This window comes from Homo sapiens, chromosome 12 (assembly GCF_000001405.40).
Source record: "Homo sapiens chromosome 12, GRCh38.p14 Primary Assembly".
NCBI classification, from domain to species: domain Eukaryota; kingdom Metazoa; phylum Chordata; class Mammalia; order Primates; family Hominidae; genus Homo; species Homo sapiens.
This window is the reverse complement of record NC_000012.12, coordinates 70465482-70488678: the sequence shown is the minus strand read 5'-3', so window position 1 is coordinate 70488678 and position 23197 is coordinate 70465482. Positions and strand designations below refer to the sequence as shown.

The window sequence follows — 23197 nt, the reverse complement described above, 5'->3', positions numbered from 1 at the left end:
TAAATTAAATACATACTAATCTTCCAGATATCACTTTTTGTTAGCACTTGGAGTTATGAATGGTCCTCAGCATACTGATGTTTTCTGACAGAGCTCCTCTCTCCCCTGAATGCAGGAGACCCTAATAGTTAGGCAGGAATATCATCACCCCTATTCAGCATGAAGAAGTTATAGGTGATGGATCTTTGCCCTTCTGCAACTCTTAGGATTAACGGTTCTCTTATAAAAGGGAGGGGGTAAACGTTAGAGGCATTGGAACCAGAGAAACTCCATCTTAAATAGGAGCTGAGATAAATGAGGCTGAAATCTACTGGGCTACACTCCCAGATGGTTAGGCACTCTAAGTCACAGAATAAGACAGGAGGTCAGCTCAAGATACAGGTCATAAAGACTTTGCTGATAAAACAGGTTGCAGGAAAGTAGCTGGCCAAAATCCACCAAAACCAAGATGGTGATCAGAGTGACCTCTGGTTGTCCTCACTGCTACACTCCCACCAGCACCATGACAGTTTACAAATACCATGGCAATGTCAGGAAGTTACCCAATATGGTCTAAAAAGGCGAGGTATGGATAATCCACCCCTTGTTTAGCATATAATCAAGAGCTAATCATAAATATGGGCAACCAGCAGCTCTCAAGGCTGCTCTGCCTATTAAGTAGCTATTCTTTTACTCCTTTACTTTCTTAATAAATTTGCTTTCACTTTATTCTATGGACTCACCCTGAATTCTTTCTTTCTTGTATGAGATCCAAGAACCCTCTTTTGGGGTCTGGACTGGGACCCCCTTCTGGTAACAGAATGATGTATTTTCTTTTGGATATATATCCAGTAATGGGATTCCTGAATCAAATGGTAGTTCTGTTTTAAGTTCTTTGAGAAACCTCCAAACTGCTTTCCACAGGAACTGAACTAATTTACATTCCCACCAACAGTTTATAAGCATTCTCTTTTTGCCAGAGCTTGGCCAACATCTGTTGTTTTTTGACTTTTCACTAATAGCCATTCTGACTGGTGTGGCATGGTATCTCACTGTGGTTTTGATTTGCATTTCTCTGATGATTAGTGATGTGGAGCATTTTTTCATATATTTGTTGGCCGCTAGTATGTCATTTTGAGAAGTGTCTGTTCGTGTCTCTTGCCCACTTTTTAATAGACTTATTTGCTTATGTTTCTTATAGCTTATGGATATTAAATCTTTGCAGAATGCATAGTTTGCAAATAGTTTCTCCCATTCTGTTAGTTGTCTGTTTACTCTGTTAATAGTTTCTTTTGCTATGCAGAAGCTTTTTAGTTTAATTAGCTCCCATCTGTCAATTTTTGTTTTCATTGCAACTGTTTTTGCAGCCTCAGTCATAAATTCTTTCCCAAGGCCAATGTACAGAATGGTATTTCCTAGGTTTTCTTCTAGGATTCTTATAGTTTGAGGATCTTACATTTAAATCTTTAATTCATCTTTAGTTAATTTTTGTACATGGTGAAATGTAGTGGTCCAGTTTCATTCTTCTGCATATAGCTTGCCAGCTATCCCAGTGTAGAAAGTTGTATTTTGGAGACTGATTTAGTTTGATAGTTGGTTTTTTCAGCTTAGCTTGTTTCTTAATTGAATCACTGGCTTCAGGGTGGAGCCATTTAATGAATAGCACAAAAAAAAATTTGCTGTTTTTAGAGTTTAATATCTAATATATGAGAAGCAGACACAACCGGAAGGCAGAGCATCTAGATCTTTAAAAATTAAGGATTTCACATTTACATTGAATTCTGGGTCCCCAAAATAGGGAAATGCCATGGGACTTGCCCATGCAACAGTTCTGCAGTGCTCCTCACTACAAGGGTATTCCCCCAAGGCTGGTTAGAAATCCAATACCAACCAGTCCACTCTGTAATTAACTCAACCCCTATAAGAGTCTTCTCTCTTTTTGGCAAGTATTTCCACAGCCTCGAATTGTTCAAACCACTTTTCTTATCTACAAGTGCAAATAAATAGCTTTCTGCAGTAATAACCACCCATTGCAACCATAGTTGGCCTGTTAGCAGCAGCAAAGCTGTATGGGTCTGCAACAACCTCAATTCTTGCCTCCTCAGAAGAATTTGAGTCAGGGGCATGATGCAGAAGGAGAAACTGAGGCAAGTTTTAGAGGAGGAGTTAAGGTTTATTAATAAGCTTTACAGCAGGAAAGAAAGGAAGTAAAGTATACTTGGAAGACGGCCAGGTGGGTGACTTGAGAGATCAAGTGTGCTGTTTGACATGGGGGTTTATTTGCTGGCCTACTTCTAGGGTCTTGCATTACCTTCTACCCTGATTTTTCTCTTGGGGTGGCTGTCCACATGCACAGTGGCCTGCTAGCACTTGGGAGGGGAGCATGCACAGTGCGTTTACTGGAGTTATATGCATGCTAACTTGAGGTGTTCTTCCCTTACTGCTCAAATGTCCCTGAGAGGTCACGTACCAGTTAAATTCTGCCATTTTGCCTCTTAATGTACATGCTTCAGCCCACTTGCCCAACTACTGAGATTTTATCAGGAAGCTGCTGATCACCAGTTTCAGGTATTTTCTATCTATTGGGAGACTGCTTTTCCGTGGTGTTGGCTATGACCAATTATTATTTTAGAGAGACAGTTAGCAACTTCCTGACCACCACCTGATGGTCACCTGTGATTCCTGGTGATGGGAATCCCTCTCCTGCCCTGCTCATGTATGACTAGCTACCTACTGTAACAGGCCACTTTCAAAACTATAAATCTCACTAGTGACTTGCCAGCCATCGCACTCAAAGGTCAAGTTCCTTCTCAAAGTACAAAGCAATCTCTGGAAACACACAAGCCAAAGAGATTAAGAAATCAGTGCAAAAGAGAGCAGGACTGTAGATCTGAGAGAAGCCTGCCCATGACTTTTTTTTTTCTAATGCCCTCACTTTAACAGAATTGCCCATGACTCGAGACTCCCAAAAAGGGGTTATGAATGATGCTTTTTTTGTGTGTTCCTCAAGGGGTCTTGAGGTTGCTAGAAACCTCCTATGTAGTACTGAAGATGGCAAGGAAAAGGAGAAGCCAAGTGGGAAGAAATGGAAGATCTTTGGGAGGCCAAGGCAGGTGGATCACGAGGTCAAGAGATCGAGATCATCCTGGCCAACATAGTGAAACCCTGTCTCTACTAAAAATACAAAAATTAGCTGGGCATGGTGGCATGCACCTGTAGTCCCAGCTACTCAGGAGGCTGAGGCAGGAGAATCACTTGAACCCGGGAGGCAGAGGATGCAGTGAGCCAAGATCATGCCACTGCACTCCAGCCTTGTGATAGAGCAAGACTCAGGGGGAAAAAAAAAAACGAAAAAGAAAAAGAAATGGAAGATCAAGTTTTAAAGGAACCAATTTGGGGAGATTTTAAGCTTTCTCAAAGGCTAAAGTTTCACATTTTTCTAAGCAAAATCATGCCAACAGGAAAGGAAGCAAATAGAGGGACCAAACGTATTTAAAGAGAGGCTTCAGTTGGCTGAAAAACATTCCCAGAAATAAGACCTAAAAGAGAAAAAGCAAAAAGGCTTTTTTTAAATTATAGCATGAATATCAGCTTTTGATTAAGGTGATTTCTGACCACAGAGCTCTTTTTAAAAAAAAAGCTTTTCAAATCTCTTTTTATCAGACTTCAGCCAAGACAAACAGAAAATAGGTTTTCTATTTAATTTGTCCAGTTCTAAGACCAAGTTTTCCAATTATGTGCACAAATGAAACATTTTAGGCATTTCAAAGAAGACCCATTTAACCACTGCTACTTATGACTATCCCAGGTTATATGGGCTCATTTTCCTAGACATTTACAAGAGGACACCACATTAAGTTTTGTACATAAAACCAGCTGATGTTTCTAAAGAAGATTTCATTTTTAAAAAGTGTTCAGATTTTAAAGCTTGATTTCCCATTATTTAGGAATTTTTTAAAAGTGACCAAGGGCAGAAATGTGTTTTGGGTCAAAGTATGCTGCTTATGAGTGTCACTACACAAGGTGTCACCCAAGTGTCATGAGTCTCTCTTTTATGTGTCTCGGACCACCTCTAACTGCCAGGTGTTAGTAGGATGCTCAAGGTATAGAAGTAACCAGTTCCTTATTTATACCCTTTAGATTGAGCAAGAGTCCCTAAAATATTCTCCTGCTGAGGAATGACTTATGAGGCCACTTCACATCCTGGGAAATGTCCTGACACCTCTGCAAAGTCTCTAGTCACCTGGAGCACCCAAATGGGTCAGAGGGAACAATTGCCTTTTCTCTTAATGGCAACAGAACCCACCCTTATGCATCTTTTGGTCTGAAACTAGCAGAAATTGGTCAAAAATGAAAATATAAAGTCTGAATTACAAACAATATAAAGCAGCTGCAAGTTTAAAAGCATGCTTTGTAATTTTAGACCAAAAGAAGTAAAATCACTGGTGCCAGATGCCGATACTATAACCCAAATCTTTTATAAGTCAGAGGCAGAGAAAGTAGAAGTCCTCTGCAGACCTCCTTGTCTAACTGTGACCCCAAACCTCTTGTCCTGAGGCAGAGGCAGAGAAGGCAGTTCTCTGCAGAGATCTTTACCTGAATCTCCTGTCCAAAGACTGAGACTGAAGCCCTCACTCCTAAGGGAAAGAAATGGTTTGAAAACCAACCTAAATAAAATCTAGACCTCAACTAAATATAAAAGGAAGGTCTGGATCTAGGAGCACTCACCTTTTTGCATCCAGTCAAACCTCTGGAGTTAGAGGAACATGTTAGGTTCATGCTGATACTGAGTGCTGAGCCTGAGAGGGAACACCAGGTGGTAAGGAGGAGGTCACTGTGAGTCCTGTCCATTTTCTCCAGATAATGTTGACAGAAAGGAAAATGCTGAGGCAAAATTAATGTAAGTTGAGAGTCTCTTTGAGCCAACTTCAAGAACTGTAACCCAGGAAGATAGATTCAAGCTGCCCTTAATATATGCTCTGATTTTACAGCAGTTACAAGTGGGTTTTTGAAGGAAAAAAAGAAGAGGCAGTTTCTAAGTTGTTTACCAGGAATTTGAAACTGGCACATTTTTCCCACAAAACTAATATTTATGTTGTTTTTTAAAAATAAAATACATAGAAATTGACCCTCCCTGGTCTTAAAACTTGAAACTTATATTTGTCCCATGAGTTTCTTTTTCAGGAAAACCAAACCTCAAGCAAGGAACTGCAATTCATCATATCATCACATCCAAACAATGAGATGCCAGACACCTCATCCATCATGAATATTTCCTTACCCCTCCTTAATTCCTGTTTGCCTCCCTTCCGCACTATATAAACCCCCCAATTTTAATCAGTTGGGAAGATGGATTTGAGACTTTCTCTCTCATTCTCTACAGCTATAGCACACAATTAAAGCCTTCTTCCCTGGCAATACTTATCTCAGTGATTGGCATTCTGTGCAGTGAGCAGCAGGTTTCGTCTAGACCAAACCCCTGGCATTTTGGTAATAAATGTACATTAAAGTAACATAAGCTATTGATTGGCTATACATTCTCCTTTGCATCAAAAATCTCAGGAACATGAAAATAACTGGTGAGTTTGCTAGTCAGGAAACTACAGGGAAGAAAAGAAGAACAAAATGTCTTTAAACAATTGCCCCTGGGCATGGGTGCTGGGTGCATGACTGAAGTCTCATACTCATGTCTTTCTATGCCTGATAAATTTTGCATACCTTACAGTTCAGACTGCTCTGAGCTGTTCTCTTTTTTCTCTGTCACATAGCTACCAAATGCCAGAGGCTTACTTTGAATACGGACAATATAATTCTAGAACTTATGTTCTTAACCACTTCCTTGTGTTTCATGGGGTAGAGAAAAGACAGATTAAGTGCTTAAGTGCTACAGCTTAAATTCAATTTAATTTTAGGCTTCCAGCTTTCAATTTAGTTTTTCAGATTCACATGTGCTGCAAATCACTTTCTTCATCCTATCCAACTCTGGCCAAGAAAAAGCTCATGTGTCCATTAGCCCTGATGTTGACATCCCTCTCAGCATTTTAGACTAAATGTGTCTACTCTAAATTCACCTACTCTAAATTCAATCTCATATGTTCCCTCTGGGGCCCAGGAATATGCTGCTAGACAACTCTTAGAATGATAATAAATTATTAGAGCAAAGGGACAATGATTATCCCATGTAGAACTAGCATGTTAACTCAGAATGGGAGACATAAAAAGAAGCACTCCACAAATAAGGTGGAAGAAATGGGCCCTAACATTTAGCTCCCAACTCAAGAGATTCTAATAACTTGAGTATATAAAAGTCAGGCCCAAATGATTGCTGAGCCATTGGAGAAAAGGAGAGGAGAAACAGGTTTCTTCAACATTGTTCAGAATATGCAAGACAAGAAATTAAGCATTACCCAAGTCATGAAGAGCAAGAATAAGGATGGGAAGCCCAGGGTCTCAAAGGTGCCACTGCCACTCTATCCCTCAACCCAGCCATGAGCAAGGAAGGTGGGATGAAATGCTCACTCCTCACTTCCATTTAAGAGAACATTGATACATCAGTCAGAGGTCCAGCAAAAGATACATGATATATTGAAATGGAGTAATGAGGAGAACTCAACAAGGGAACCACCGGCAATGTACTAGGTAGCCTTCCCAGATCCACTGGTATGTCCCTGGACTGGTCTTCTGTGAGCAGCTTCTCAGGGCCCCAGCACTCAAGGCCGTGCAAGCACTTTGCTAGGCAGTATAGCACAAGGAGAAAAGCACAGGATTGAAGGTAGAGTGGTAGATTCTAGACCCAGTCAGAAGCTGTGTGATTTTGGACAAGTCTCAAGATCAATTATCTTCCTACTTAACACCTCTTGAACAGGAAGCCTTTAAGTGCCACTGTTTCTATTAATCTTCTAGACAGCCCACCCTTCTCCATATCACTGTCCTGCCCGAGCTCAGGTCCCATAATCTCTCCTAAACCCAGAAGTCCTTTATGTGGTCTCTGTATCTCTGCCTGGCACTTCCATCCACCTTCCACACTGCCACCAGAATGATTTATCTAAAATATAAAACTGACCATGATGCTTCAGAAATTGACCAGTGACACCCAATTATTTACAAAACCCAGGCTCCTTGATGAGCATATGAGGCCTGTCATGACTTGGCCTGTAGTTTTCTCCCCAGCTTTAGCAGTAACCACTCCTCTCCTTGCAATTTATGCTTCATTGACTTAAATCACTTGTGACTTCCAGAATACACATTGCTGTTTTTTATATTTTTGCTCCTGTATATTCCATTTTCTCCCCTAAAATGGTTTTCGTCTCTACTCTAACACCCAGGACCCATCCTGGGGGTGACAGGTGGTGGGAAAAGGGAAGGTTATTAGCCCAGGCCTCACCCTCACAAAGGGCTGTGAATATAGCCCTTCAATTTATCTACAAATAAAGTTAAATGTAGAGTCACAAAGATGCAGACAGTAATGGGAAATGAAGACATGCTCCATATAACTTTAAACTCAGTCCCATAATTAAATCAATCTACCGATAATGCATTATAAAGAAATTTTACAAAATAAATCCTTTATTTTGTAAATTACACAATTTTTGTAACCCTGATTACACACCTTTTTTACTTTAAAATTTTTTACCATACCAGAAGACTAAAAAAAAAAAAAAAATTAAATTTTAAAAAAGGCAGTGACCCTCTCTTTGCCTCTAAAACCTGCTGCTGACTTCTTCCCTAACTTAACTCCATAAACTTCCTGCTCCCTGGCATTATGTCTGTACCTACAGGACATTTCTCATGCCCATGGCACATTTCATTGAAATTATTTGTTCTGTTTTCCCTGCTGGACTGTGAGCTGCTTGAGAGCAGGGTTTTCAAGGCACCAAGCAAACAAATTTGGATTGATTCCATATATAATAGTTATAATAATAATATACAATACTAATGGAAACATTTCAAAAGTATCCAGCATCACTCATTGCCTTTATATACATTTTAATGGACTAATCCCTCCAAGAATCCTATGAGATACGAAACTAAGACTTACAGAGGTCACTGGCAATAAATGGCAAAGCCAGAATTCAGACCTAGGCAATCTGGCTTCACAGCAAGTGTGCTCAGATTGTATACTAGTAGTTCTAAAACTTTAATGTGCATCAGAATTACCTGGAGGGCTTACTATTAAAATAAAAATGGTTGGGCTCCATTCATAGTTTCTAAATCAATAGATTTATAATATACCCTGACGTTACTAAAAATAATGAACCAAAATATTAAAAGTTATTTCATGAAATTATTTGATAAAGATTTAATCTTATTAAATAGATAACCATGTATCAGGGAAAAAACGTTCACACTTTTTAAAAGCAATCAATCTGGGATGCAGGAAAAATAGTAGTAAGAGGAAAGTTTATGCAATCAATACCCACTTCAAAAAATTACAAAGATCCCAAACTATTAGTCTGTTATCACACTGCTGATAAAGACATACCCAAGACTGGGCAATTTACAAAGGAAAGAGGTTTATTGGGTTTACAGTTCCACCTAGATGTGGAGACCCCACAATCACGGTGGAAGGCAAGGAGGAGCAAGTCATGTCTTACATGAATGGTGGCAGGCAGAGAGAGCTTGTGTAGGGAAACTCCCATTTTTGAAACCATCAGCTCTTGTGTAACTTATTCACTATCATGAGAACAGCACGGAAAAGACCAGCCCCCATGAGTCAATTACCTCCAACCAGGTCCCTTTCACAACATGTGGGAATTCAAGATGTTAGATCACTAATGATCTAACATCACATTTAGAAGAAATAGAAAAACAACAAACTAACTGTATTAGTCTGTTCTCACACTGCTATAAAGAACTACCTGAGACTGGGTAATTTATAAAGAAAAGAGGCACTTAATTGACTCACAGTTCCACTGGCCATACAGGAGAAATGGCTTAGGGAGGCCTCAGGAAACTTACAATCATGGCAGACGGGCAAAGGAGAAGCAAACATATCTTCACATGGTGGCAAGAGAGGGAGAGTGAAGGGGGAAATGCTACACACTTTTAAACAACCAGATCACATGAGAACACACTCACTGTCACAGGAACAGCTATGGGGATATCTGCCCCCATGATCCAATTGCCTCCCACCAGGTCCCTCCCGCAATGGTGAGAATTAGTTTGAGTGCGATTTGGGTGGGGACACAGAGCCAAACCATATTCACTAACCCCCAAAGCTAGTAGAATAAAATAACTAAAATCAGAGGAGAACTGAATAAAACTGAGACCCCCAAATCCATAAAATAATCAACAAAACAAAAAATTGGTTTTTCAAAAGGATAAACAAGAGTGATAGACCACTAGCTAGATAAACAAAGAAAAAAAGAGAGAAGATCCAAATAAGCATAATCAGAAATGACAAAGATGACATTACAACCAATACCACGGAAATACAAAAGATTCTCAGAGAATATTATGAACACCTCCCTGCACCCAAACTAGAAAATAGATAAATTCCGGGAAACACAAAACCTCACAAGATTAAATCAGTAAGAAATTGAAACCCTGAACAGACCAATATTTAGTTACAAAATTGAATCAGTAATTTAAAAAACCCTACCAGCTAAAAAGGTCCTAGACCAGATGGATTCACAACCGAATTCTACCAGACATACAAAGAACAGCTGGCACCAATCCTACTGCAACTATTCCAAAAAATTAGGGAAGAAGAACTCCTCCCTAACTCATTTTATGAAGCCAGCATCACTCAGATACCAAAACCTGGCAGAGACACAATGAAAAAAGAAAACTTCAGGCAAATATCCCTTATGAACATAGATGCAAAACTCCTCAACAAAATACTAGAAATCAAATTCAGCAGCACATCAAAAAGCTTATCCACCATGATCAAGTAGGCTTCATTCCTGGGATGCAAGTTTGGTTCAACACATGCAAATCAATAAATGTGATTTCACCACATAAACAGAATTAAAAACAAAAGTCATATGATCATCTCTATAGATGCAGAAAATCCCTTCAATAAAACCCACATCCCTTTAAGTTAAAAATCCTTAACAAACTAGGAGTTGAAGGAGCATGCCTCAAAATAATAAGAGACATCTATGACAAACGCATAGCAAACATACTGAAAAAGAAGAATCAGGAAGCATTTCCCTTGGGAACTGGAACAAGACAAGGATGTCCACTTTTACCACTTCTATTCAACATAGTACTGGAAGTCCTAGGCAAAGCAAACAGGCAAGAGAAAGAACTAAAAGGCATGCAAAGAGGAAGAGAGGAAGTCAAACTCTCTCTCTTCAGACTATGTAATTCGATACCTAGAAAACCCAGTAGACATCACCAAAAGCCTCCTGGAACTGATAAATTAGTAACATTTCAGGACACAAAATCAATGTACAAAAATCACTAGCATTTCTATACACCAATAACATTCAAGCTGAGAGCCAAATCAAGAATGCAATCCTATTTACAATAGCCACCAAAAAAATCATCTAGGAATACATCTAACCAAGGAGGTGAACGATCTCTACAAGGAAAATGACAAAACACTGCTGAAAGAAATCACAGATGACACAAACAAATGGAAACACCATGATCATGGACTGGAAAAGTTAGTATCGCTAAAGTGGCTCTACTGGCCAAAGTAATCTTTGGATTCAACACAATTCCTATCAAATTATCAACATTATTTTTCACAGAATGAGGAAAAAAACTATTCTAAATTTCATATGTAACCAAAAAAAGAGCCCAAATTGCCAAAGCAATCCTAACAAAAAGAACAAAGCCACAGGCATCACATTACCCAATTTCAAACTATACTATAAGGCTACAGTAACCAAAACAGCAGAGTACTGTCACAAAAACAAACAGATCAATGGAACAGAACAGAGAACCCAGAAGTAAAGCTGCATATCTACAGCCATCTGATCTTTGACGAAGTCAACAAAAACAAACAATGGAGAAAGGACTCACTATTTAATAAATGGCACTGGGATAGCTAGCTAACCATATGCAGAAGAATGAAACTGGATTCATACCTTTCACCATATATATAAATTAACTCAAGATGAATTAAAGATTTAAATGTAAGACCTCCAACTGTAAGAATCCTAGAAGAAAACCTAGGAAATACCACTCTGTACATTGGCCTTGGGAAAGAATTTATGACTGAGCCCTCAAAAGCAACTGCTACAAAAACAAAAACTGACAAATGGGATCTTATTACACTAAAGAGCTTCTGCATAGCAAAAGAAACTATCAACAGAGTAAAGAGACAACCTATAGAATGGGAGAAAATATTTGCAAACTACGTATCCTACAAAGATTTAGTATCAAGAACCTATAAGGATCTTGTATTAGTTTGTTTTCACACTACTATAAAGAACTACCTGAGACTGGGTAATTTATGAAGAAAAGAGGTTTAATTGACTCAGAGTTCCACAGACTTAACAGAAACCATGACTGGGAGGCCTCAGGAAGCTTACAATTGTTGCAGGACTTTTCCTTAGTTTAGCTAAGGATGGGGTTCTTGTACATCCCACAGCCACAAAAATTTAGGCTTGCAGATGGTTTAAAGGGTGAGTAAAGCAGGGTTTTATTGGGCGAAAAGAGGAGAAAAAGCGGGGAAACAAGGACTCTTGCAAGGCCAGAGTCCCTCTGCTAGAGCGCTTCCCACCCACCTTTCGAATCCCAGGTTCCACACAGGAAGAGGAGGGACCAGGCTCCTCCTCGCTACAAAGGGCGTGAACTTCCTGAGGCTCCACCTCAGAGGGCAGGCTGGTTGGAGTTTCTTCAGGGACCCCCCTCCCACCTGACTGTCTCATTACTCCTTCTATAAGAAGTACATCTAACTGCCAATAGATGAAGGATAAGGACGAAGACCAATCTTAACTGCTTCCTGCTGACACGGGGCAATGTTTTGGGGAAACAGCAGTCAGAGCTCCCTCAGAGTTCTGTCTAAGGGTTCCTGGCAAAAGGGGTTATTGTTGGAGGCTCCGGTTGCATGACCATTTGGAGTCTGATGGCCTGAAGGCAAGAACAGACAAACCGGGTTATTAAAAACATCTATCAAAACAAAACAGCTCAAAAATTCTGAGGCCTTTTACCAGTTTGTACAGGGAAAGGGAGGCCAAAAGCCTGACATGAAAAAAAAATTTACCTTTTTACCAGCATGTTGGGCTTCTGGGTTCCTTTCCCCTAAGCTCAATTCTAAGCCAACCAATTTAAGGTCTGGGAAATTAACTCTTTTCAGTTTGGAGGATGCATCTGAGGGAAGCATCCCATAGTACAGAGACACAATTTCTTATCAGTGAAGAGAGAACCAAGAGGAAGAAAGGAAAAGGAAGGCATTTTTAAAAGAAGTCCCAATGGTTCAGCATGCATTTGAAAGGGGTACAGACTGAAGGAGAATAGCTACCCACCTAGAAAGAGGGGAGCAGGCATACCTGGTTCTCTTCTCTTCCTAGCAGATACCCAGAGTAAGAGAGAGAGGGAAAAGCATCCTCTTTCTGTCTTCCATCCTTGCATCCCTGAGTCCCGGCGACCTTGGCAGACACCACCACGAGTGCCAAAGTGGCTTAAACCCATGAAGCGGCGGGGGCTAGAGAATGGAATTATCCACTCTCACTTATGTCTCTTTCCCACCTACTGTCAGTAGCCCTGGAGTTCCCTAGACCTCATTTATGCCATGGATACTAATGTGGCCTTTATCAATGCAACAGGAAGCTTGGGGTTGGCTTACTCATCAGGAATCAGCCACGCTTACCTGCGCTGTGCCTTTTAACTTCTGTTGCTCTCTGCCTCTGGATCCCTTAGATCCAGTTTTTTGTTTGTTTGTTTGTTTTTTATTCTAGGGTACATGTGTACAACGTAAAGGTTTCTTACATATGTATACATGTGCCATGTTGGTGTGCTGTACCCATTAACTCATCATTTACATTAGGTGTATCTCCTAATGCTATCCCTACCCCCTCCCACTACCCCACGACAGGCCCCGGTGTGTGATGTTTCCCTTTCTGTGTCCAGGCATTCTCATTGTTCAATTCCCACCTATAAGTGAGAACGTGTGGTGTTTGGTTTTTTGTCCTTGTGATAGTTTGCTGAAAATGATGGTTTCTCAGCTTCATCCATGTCCCTACAAAGGACATGAACTCATCCTTTTTTATGGCTGCATGGTATTCCATGGTGTATATGTGCCACATTTTCTTAATCCAGTCTATCATTGATGGGCATTTGGGTTGGTTCCAAGTCTTTGCTATTGTGAATAGTGCCACAAGAAACATACGTGTGCATGCATCTTCATAGCAGCATGATTTATAATCCTTTGGGTATAGATCCAGTAATGGGATGGCTGGGTCAAATGGTATTTCTAGTTCTAGATCCTTGAGGAATCGCCACACTGTCTTCCACAATGGTTGAACTAGTTTACAGCCCAACCAACAGTGTAAAAGTGTTCCTATTTCTCCACATCCTCTCCAACACCTGTTGTTTCCTGACTTTTTAGTGATTGCCATTCTAACTGGTATGAAATGGTATCCCACTGTGGTTTTGATTTGCATTTCTCTGATGGCCAGTGATGATGAGCATTTTTTCATGTGTCTGTTGGCTGCAGAAATGTCTTCTTTTGAGAAGTGTCTGTTCATATCCTTCACCCACTTGTTAATGGGGTTGTTTGTTTTTTTCTTGTAAATTTGTTTGAGTTCTTTGTAGATTCTGGATATTAGCCTTTTGTCATATGAGTAGATTGCAGAAATTTTCTCCCATTCTGTAGGTTGCCTGTTCACTCTGATGGTAGTTTCTTTTGCTGTGCAGAAGCTCTTTAGTTTAATTAGATCCCATTTGTCAATTTTGGCTTTTGTTGCCATTGCTTTTGGTGTTTTAGACACAAAGTCCTTGCCCCTGCCTATGTCCTGAATGCTATTGCCTAGGTTTTCTTCTACAGTTTTTATGGTTTCAGGTCTAACATTTAAGTCTTTAATCCCTCTTGAATTAATTTTTGTATAAGGTGTAAGGAAGGGATCTAGTTTCAGCTTTCTACATATGGCTAGCCAGTCTTCCCAGCACCATTTATTAAATAGGGAATCCTTTCCCCATTGCTTTTGTCAGGTTTGTCAAAGATCAGATGGTTGTAGATGTGTGGTACTATTTCTGAGGGCTCTGTTCTGTTCCATTGGTCTATATCTCTGTTTTGGTACCAGTACCATGCTGTTTTGGTTACTGTAGCCTTGTAGTATAGTTTGAAGTCAGGTAGCGTGATGCCTCCAGCTTTGTTCTTCTGGCTTAGGATTGTCTTGGCAATGCAGGCTCTTTTTTGGTTCCATATGAACTTTAAAGTAGATGGAGGAACATCTACCAAGCAAATGGAAAACAAAAAAAGGCAGGGGGTGCAATCCTAGTCTCTGATAAAACAAACTTTAAACCAACAAAGATCAAAAGAGACAAAGAAGGCCGTTACATAATGGTAAAGGGATCAATTCAACAAGAAGACCTAACTATCCTAAATATATATGCACCCAATACGGGAGAACCCAGATTCATAAAGCAAGTCCTTAGAGACCTACAAAGAGACTTAGACTCCCACACAATAATAATGGGAGGCTTTAACACCCCACTGTCAACATTAGACAGATCAATGAGACAGAAAGTTAACAAGGATATCCAGGAATTGAACTCAGCTCTGCACCAAGCAGACCTAATAGACATCTACAGAACTCTCCACCCCAAATCAACAGAATATACATTCTTCTCAGCACCACATCACACTTATTCTAAAATTGACCACATAGTTGGAAGTAAAGCACTCCTCAGCAAATGTAAAAGAACAGAAATTATAACAAACTGTCTCTCAGACCACAGTGCAGTCAAACTAGAACTCAGGATTAAGAAACTCACTCAAAACCGCTCAACTACATGGAAACTGAACAACCTGCTCCTGAATGACTACTGGGTACATAACGAAATGAAGGCAGAAATAAAGATGTTCTTTGAAACCAATGAGAACAAAGACACAACATACCAGAATCTCTGGGACACATTTAAAGCAGTGTGTAGAGGGAAATTTATAGCAATAAAAGCCCACAAGAGAAAGCAGGAAAGATCTAAAATTGACAACCTAACATCACAATTAAAAGAACTAGAGAAGCAAGAGCAAACACATTCAAAAGCTAGCAGAAGGCAAGAAATAACTAAGATCAGAGCAGAACTGAAGGAGATAGAGACACAAAAAACCCTTCAAAAAAAATCAATGAATTCAGGACCTGGTTTTTTGAAAGGATCAACAAAATTGACAGACCGCTAGCAAGACTAATAAAGAAGAAAAGAGAAGAATCAAATAGACACAATAAAAAATGATAAAGGGGATATCACCACTGATCCCACAGCAATACAAACTACCATCAGAGAATATTATAAACACTTCTATGCAAATAAACTAGAAAATCTAGAAGAAATGAAAAAATTCCTGGACACATACACCCTCCCAAGACTAAACCAGGAAGAAGCTGAATCCCTGAATAGACCAATAACAGGCTCTGAAATTGAGGCAATAATTAATAGCCTACCAACCATAAAAAGTCCAGTACCAGACGGATTTACAACCGAATTCTACCAGAGGTACAAGGAGGAGCTGGTACCATTCCTTCTGAAACTATTCCAATCAATAGAAAAAGAGGGAATCCTCCCTAACTCATTTTATGAGGCCAGCATCATCCTGATACCAAAACCTGGCAGAGACACAACAAAAAAAGAGAATTTTAGACCAACATCCCTCCCTGATGAACATCGATGCAAAAATCCTCAATAAAATACAGGCAAACCGAATCCAGCAGCATATCAAAAAGCTTATCCACCATGAACAAATGGGCTTCATCCCTGGGATGCAAGGCTGGTTCAACATACACAAATCAATAAATGTAATCCAGCATATAAACAGAAACAAAGACAAAAACCACGATTATCTCAATAGATGTAGAAAAGGCCTCTGACAAAATTCAACAGCCCTTCATGCTAAAAACTCTCAATATATTAGGTATTGATGGGACGTATCTCAAAATAATAAGAGCTATTTATGACAAACCCACAGCCAATATCATACTGAATGGGCAAAAACTGGAAGCATTTCCTTTGAAAACTGGCATAAGACAGGGATGCCCTCTCTCACCACTCCTATTCAACATAGTGTTGGAAGTTCTGGCCAGGGCAATCAGGCAGGAGAAAGAAATAAAGGGTATTTAATTAGGAAAAGAGGAAGTCAAACTGTCCCTGTTTGCAGATGACATGATTGTATATTTAGAAAACCCCATTGTCTCAGCCCAAAATCTCCTTAAGCTGATAGGCAACTTCAGCAAAGTCTCAGGATACAAAATCAATGTGCAAAAATCACAAGTATTCTTATACACCAATAACAGACAGAGAGTCAAATCATGAGTGAACTCCCATTCACAATTACTACAAAGAGAATAAAATACCTAGGAATACAACTTACAAGGGATGTGAAGGACCTCTTCAAGAACTACAAACCACTGCTCTACGAAATAAGAGAGGACACAAACAAATGGAAGAACATTCCATGCTCATGGATAGGAAGATCAATATCGTGAAAATGGCCATACTGCCCAAGGTAATTTATAGATTCAATGCCATCCCCATCAAGCTACCAATGACTTTCTTCACAGAATTAGATCCAGTTTTCTTTCTAGGGCTTTGACCCGAAGCTTAGAATTGAATCTGAGACAAAAATGTATCTCAGGGGGGTTGCATGGACTCCTTATCACAAGCCAAATGCTAAGGTGAAGCTGTGGAATTGAGTCCTCTTCCAACAAGGGAGAGGAAAGGATGTCTTGTGACACACCCAGATAACTTGTAGCTATAGTTATGCTTGCTAGAATTTGGGTACATGATGCCTGACTTTTGTTAGTTCCCTGGGTCTTACTTTCCCAAAAGGGAACCTCTGAGTATTGGGCATCCTGTTTATTCCCACAGCCTTGCAGGATTTGCAGGATAATTGCTCAGAACTAGAATATTGATCCAGATTTTTACATTACCCATCCCTTTTGTTCTTTCTGAACAGCAGCCAGAGATTGCTGATTGGTTCACAGGAACAAGTAGGGTTAATCTAAAATGTAGGTGAAAACTTTAAAACAACTAGTGAGTTTAGAATTTAATGATAAATATGTGATAAGTTTTGAAACATGATTTCTCCCTCTCCAGTCCTCATGTTTGTTATAAAAAAAATTATAATAGCACTGAGTGGTTTGCAAAATAGACTTTAGTCTTGTACTTGGCCTGATTATTTGCATAAAGTGCAGCAAGAATAACTATTTCTACATAAGCCTTTTGGATTGGCTTTGATGGAAGTTTATTCCACAAAAAATCTTACAGAAGACCTTTTAAAGTTGAGCCCAACTATGGGTTTGTATCCTCAAACACCTGTGAGTTGGGTGATCCTTTCCTCTTAAGGTCCCAAGATAAACTTGGAGCTCCTGGACCTGTTAGAAAGTAACATTCTTTACTGACCACAGGTCAGGAACAATGTACAGGGACTGTGTAGACAAGGATATGAGTCCAGTTTTTCCATGGGGCTTTTATTGGCTCTGCAAGTCAAGCTTGACCCCTTAAAGGGAAACATACCCTTCCAGTCAAAGCCTTGGTAAAATAACTACTTTCTGTAATTGTACACTGTTGCAAAAGAAAAATGGATTTTTATTGCACTGATGCAAACAACTATATTGCCATAAGAATACCCACAGATAGTTTCCAAATTCTAGAGGAAACAGGCAGAGACAAACAAACATGCTTCAAATTGTGTTCATAGCAGCATACCTTATAAAATTATTAAAGGTTCTAAATAGTTCAAAATAAGTTTCCTTGACTCTGCAAAACAAAACATGGGTTAACAATATTCCAAGCAAAAGCAAAAATGTTGCTTCAGGTTCCTGAGTTCAGTCCATTTAGTTAACTCTTGTTTTGCTTGATATTTGTGAGCATTTCAGCTCTTCATGAGTCCTATACATTTTCCTGTATTCCAATGTCATAATATCCAAAGTTATCAGAAGACTGTATTTGAGAGCACCTGTCAAAGTCCTACAGCTTATTATAAACTATCTTTTGAAAATGATTAAAAGAAGACAACAACTGTCTGTGAATAGCAAAATGTCCAGAGTAGTTACAGTCAGAAACACAAATGACAAAGAAGTTTGGTTATCTCTGTGATGTACGATAACGTAACAACCTTAATTATAATTGATAGGATATACTCAGACATTAGAATTTTAGAAATCCCACACAATTTTAGAACATATGTTAGCATTATTTACCAAGATATAACCTAAAGCAGATTGAACATCATTTTGGCAATCCCATGTACCTAAACATGTCAAATAATCCTGTTTACCGCTCTTTTCTGGACACTTCAGGGGCCCTCTGAAGTATTCAAAAAGCCAGGTGCCAGGGAAGACGATTTTGAAACTGAAGTTCGATTTAGGGAAACCTGTTAAATATGTTTAAAGCACTTAAATAGAGTTCCAGATTACCAGAAACTATTTATTTTGCCAAAATGACACAGAAGTTTTAAGGAAGCAAAAAAACCTTTTATAATCCTTTACAAATTTTGCCAAAGAGCAGATTAGCACCTTAGGAAAACCATGTTATGCTTTTATTTCAATGCTCAATTTACAGAAAAACCATATAATACCGGTTTTTGAATTTAGTCTATATGTTCACACAGAGAACCTCTTCTGCAAGATTAATTTCCACAATTCTTCCACTACTTATTTGAACCTTCAGCTTTTTCCTAATTTAACTCAAAGCAATCATTTAACCCTAGGCAAGAGTTTACATTTCCATGCCTTCTTATATAAAACATTTTACAAATAAATGCATTTTACTTTTCTTACACAGCTTGCATGTAAATCTATTTCTAGTAGTTTCAATTAACTTCTAGCAATTTTTAATTTTAACGTAAAAATTGGTTAGTTGTATTAATTGTGTGCTAAGTGTAGCCAAGGTTTGCCTTCTTTATTAAGGGTATGGTTAGGTCCCTACGTCCCCAGGCCTTACCAATTGTGAAACCGTCAAGTCAAATAGTTCTCAAAACCCAAAAAGCAGTTCATAACCTCAAAACTCTTAGCAAACCTTGCATGTGACCTGCATTTTACCAATAGTCTTTAGGGCTGTTTTTATTTCTCAAAAATTAAAGTTACATGAACTGAAAGGCTCCACAGCTTTTAACTTCCCTTTAAAAAGGGAAGCGCTTGTCTTTGGGCCAAATTAATCAGAGCTCTTTTTAGACATTACACGCAACACACACACACACAGGAGAAAGCCCAGTCGCTAGGTAGGGTTCTTTAAGAGACAGGGTTAAGAAAACATGCAGATTGGCTGGGCGCGGTGGCTCCCGCCTGTAATCCCAGCACTTTGGGAGGCCGGGGCAGGCGGATCAGCTGAGGTTGGGACTTCGCAACCAGCCTAACCAACATGGAGAAACCCCGTCTCTACAAAAATACAAAATTAGCCAGGCCTGGTGGTGCATGCCTGTAATCCCAGCTACTCGGGAGGCTGAGGCAGGAGAATCGCTTGAACCCAGGAGGCGGAGGTTGTGGTGAGCCAAGAACACGCCATTGCACTCCAGCCTGGGCAACAAAGAAAAAAAAAAAAAAGAAAGAAAGAAAAAAAAAAACATGCAGATAAGGAACCAGAGAGGGCTCATCCCCTAAGGCAGGGTTGCTAAACAAAGCCTTGCCAAGCTGTTACTGGCCATGCCCCCAGGATTTAAAGCAAGGTGGAGGCTTGTAGCACAAACCATATAGACATGCAAAACACACCAGATTGGCCACAGCCTAAGACTAGCCCCACAAATCCTTTTTCATAATTAAAGGTTTACAGAAAATTTAAACAGTGATAGTTTGGGGGCCTGGCCTAGTAAATGGGGGGAAAAAACTGTAAAGGTTAACTGTTGACAGGGTGGAGAAGGGGAAAGAAAAGGAACAGTTTTAAAGTGCCTGGGGAAGAATCTCTTATTCTTAGGCAAGTGGTTCCTCCACCAGGAGAAAAGCTCAATTACTGTCAGATGGAGTAAAACCCCTTGACTGGGAAAGGAGAACGCTCCAGCAGTTCTGTGGGGTGGGGACTGCCAACCAGCTATGCCGGACCCTTGGTCCATGCGTCTCAGCCCCTGGAGGTAAGGGAGAGGTAAGGAGATAAGGGAGAAGGGAGCTTCTGTTCCCCAGTCGGTCCCAAAAAAGGAAGGAGGACATGAAAAGGCCCAGGAGTGAAGAGGGGTGGGGTGGGGACATGGTTTCCCCCACCTTCAGAAGTTTGAGGATGAAAAGGCTCAGAAGCAACAGTGAGAGGTTTTGAGTTACCATTTCACTCACCACTTCCGGAGCCCCCAGGGTGTGTGCCAAAAATGTTGCGGAACTTTTCCTTATTTCAGCTAAAGATGGGGTTCTTGTCCTTCCCACAGCCACAAAAATTTAGGCTCACAGACGACTCAAAGGGAAGTAAAGCAGGGTTTTACTGTGTGAAAAGCAAAAAAAAAGGGGGAAATAGGGACTCTTGCAAGGCCAGAGTCCCTCTGCTAGAGCACTTCCTGCCAGGCCATTTGAATCCCAGGTTCCAAACAGGAAGAGGAGGGGCCAGGCTCCTCCCTGCTGCAAAGGGTGTGAACCTCCCGGGGCTCCACCTCAGTGGGCCGGCAGGTTGGAGTTTCTGCAGGGACGCTCACCCACCTGGCTGCCTCACAATCAAGGTGGAAGGCAAAGTTGGGAAGCAAGCACCTTTTTCACATGGTGGCAGGAGAGAGAGAGAGAGACATCTCTAAAAAAAAATTTAAAAATTAGCTGAAAATGATGATGCTCTTCCTATGCCTTCCATCCTATGGTCCTAGTCCTATCCTTTGGATTGTGTTATGGGTTAAGCCAAATATCCCAAAAGTTCATATGTTAAAGTCCTGGCCCCCAGCGCCTCAGAATGTGACCTTATTTGAGAAGAGGATTATTGTAGATGTAACTAATTAAGATGACGTCACCCTGAAGTAGAATGAGCTCAATCCAATGTGTCTGGTGTCCTTATAAAAAGGGGAAAATTGGACACAGACATGCACACAGGGAAAACACCATGTGAACATGAAGGCAGAGATCAAGTGATGCATCTACAAGCCAAGGAACATAAAGATTGCCAATAAACTGCCAGAAGCTAGGGTAGAGGCATGGAATAGATTCTTCCCTCAAAGCCCTCAGAAGGAACCACGCTGATGACACCTTGATCTCAGGCTTCTGGCCTCCAGGACTGACAGACAATATACTCCTGTTGTTTTAAGCCACTCACTTTGCAGTAGTTTGTTAAGGCAGCCCTAGCAAACTAATATAGATTGTTATTAATAATAATAAATGCTCATATTTAAATTCTTACTCAAAGATAAGTAAGAACTCTAGAATGTACTTTTCCTCAGTACAATGCTGTGAGTAGGTACTATTTTTATCCTCATTATATTTTAGTATCCTCATGTGGCAGGCAGAATAATGGGCCGCCAAAGATGTTCTCATCCTAACCCTTGGAACCTGTGACTATTTAGATTACATTGCAAAGGAGAACCAATACTGCAGATAAAATTAAGGCTGGTACTCAGCTGGCCCTGAGATAGAGAGATTATCCTGAATTATCTGTGTGTGTCCCAAAGGAGCACAGGCCAAGCATAAAAAGACTAAAACTTAGATTTGTCCTACTGTGATTTGCCTTTGGTAGAAATGAGGAACTGGAGAGAAAAACTATGTTTCGAAAAGAAAACTATAGCTGGGTGTAGTGGCTGACACCTGTAATCCCAGCATTTTGGGAGGTCAAGGTGGGAGGATCACTTGAGGCCAGAAGTTCAAGACCCAGCCTAAGCAACATAGTGAGACCACCGTCTTTACAAAAATAAAAAAAAGTACTAGCCAGGTGTCCTGGCATGTGCCCGTTGTCTCCAGCTACTCAGGAGGCAGAGGTGGCAGAATCATTTGTGCCCAGGAGGTCAAGACTACAGTGAGCCATGATCACACCATTGCACTCCAGCCTGGGCAATAGAATAAGACCCTGTCTCTGACAAAAAAAAAAAAAAAAAAAAAAAAAAAAAAAAAAAGTCAAAAGAAAACTATAGTATGTAAGAGTTAAAGAAAGAGGAAAGGAACACAAAACACAGCTTGCAGTTGAAGACAGGTTTACTTTAGATCAAACCTGAGAGGTATCCCCGGCCCATTTTGGTCAGAAGCCCTTTCTCTTGCAGACTAGGAGTATATATTGGTTTTAGGGTGAGGGGGCTTATGAATGTTTATGTGTGTGGAAAAGTTTATGGCAGAATCTTTCTGGGAGGAGGGGAGGTTATCTTAGGACAGACATCTTTCCAGCCTGGAACGGGGTTATCTCAGGGCTAGCATCTTCCAGGCCAGAGCAGGGTTTATCTCTGGTCTGGCATGTCTCTGGTCAGGGAGGAGTTTGGAATGTTTCTGGTTGGAGATGTTATTTGTGGTTTATGGTCATGCTGACCTTAGCCATTAGGCTGATGTCCTTTGGATTTAGGTGGTTTTTTATTAAGGTGAACTTTAGAATGAGGGGCTTGTCCAAGATGGCGATGCTCCTGCTCTGTCATAGTACACCTGTAATTAGGTTCTAGCCTTTCCATTGTTTTAAAGTTTTTATTATTTGCCTACAATTTGGACTAAATTCTAAATTTCTTCCTTGCTACAAGTCTCCAAACTAATGTTTTCAAAATTTCCTCCCCTTTTACTGATTTGAAATCACTAGAAATTAAATCTTCTTTTCTTGAAGCCCTGCAAACTGAAGCTAGACAACCTGATATAAACTTCAGGAGAAATCACCGCAGCAACTTATTTATAAATGGCCTTCATGCCTTTTGGTGTATGAACTATTCCAAAAGTTGACTTGAACACCTGATTCAAACTATAATCCAGGGAATATCTGTCAGATTGCCACTATAATCTGAATATGCTTCACAGACTCTGGAGCAGTCTATAAACTAGAAAAGCTAGTTTATAGAAAACTTAGTTTATAGACTACTCCAGACATTAACCTTTGTTTTTATTCTGTTTCCATAGAAATGCCTTTTTATTAAAGATGTTTGCCTGCATTATATATAGAGGCTTAGCCCATCTGCAATGCCATCTCCTGAAATGGGACACAGCTGTTTAACTGAACTGATCTATTCTCAGGACTAAGAGACTGATTC

General features: G+C 40.0%; 1 long non-coding RNA gene across 2 annotated transcripts in view, besides 1 other annotated feature; it reads right to left on the bottom strand.

Annotated features, from left to right (window-relative positions):
• Nucleotides 1-20600, bottom strand: part of PTPRB-AS1 (PTPRB antisense RNA 1) — a 103372-nt gene extending 82772 nt beyond the window's left edge. For both annotated transcript variants that reach the window (XR_001749196.2, XR_007063360.1), the window contains exon 1: nt 20352-20600. This is a non-coding gene — a long non-coding RNA (PTPRB antisense RNA 1). The remainder of the gene's footprint in view (nt 1-20351) is intronic.
• Nucleotides 19899-20871: an enhancer, noted in NCBI's record as "H3K27ac-H3K4me1 hESC enhancer chr12:70861588-70862560 (GRCh37/hg19 assembly coordinates)". NCBI's record gives its function as "activates a minimal SCP1, AML or CMV promoter by ChIP-STARR-seq in naive H9 embryonic stem cells {active_cell/tissue: H9 hESC(naive)}" and the evidence as "EXISTENCE:reporter gene assay evidence [ECO:0000049][PMID:30033119]".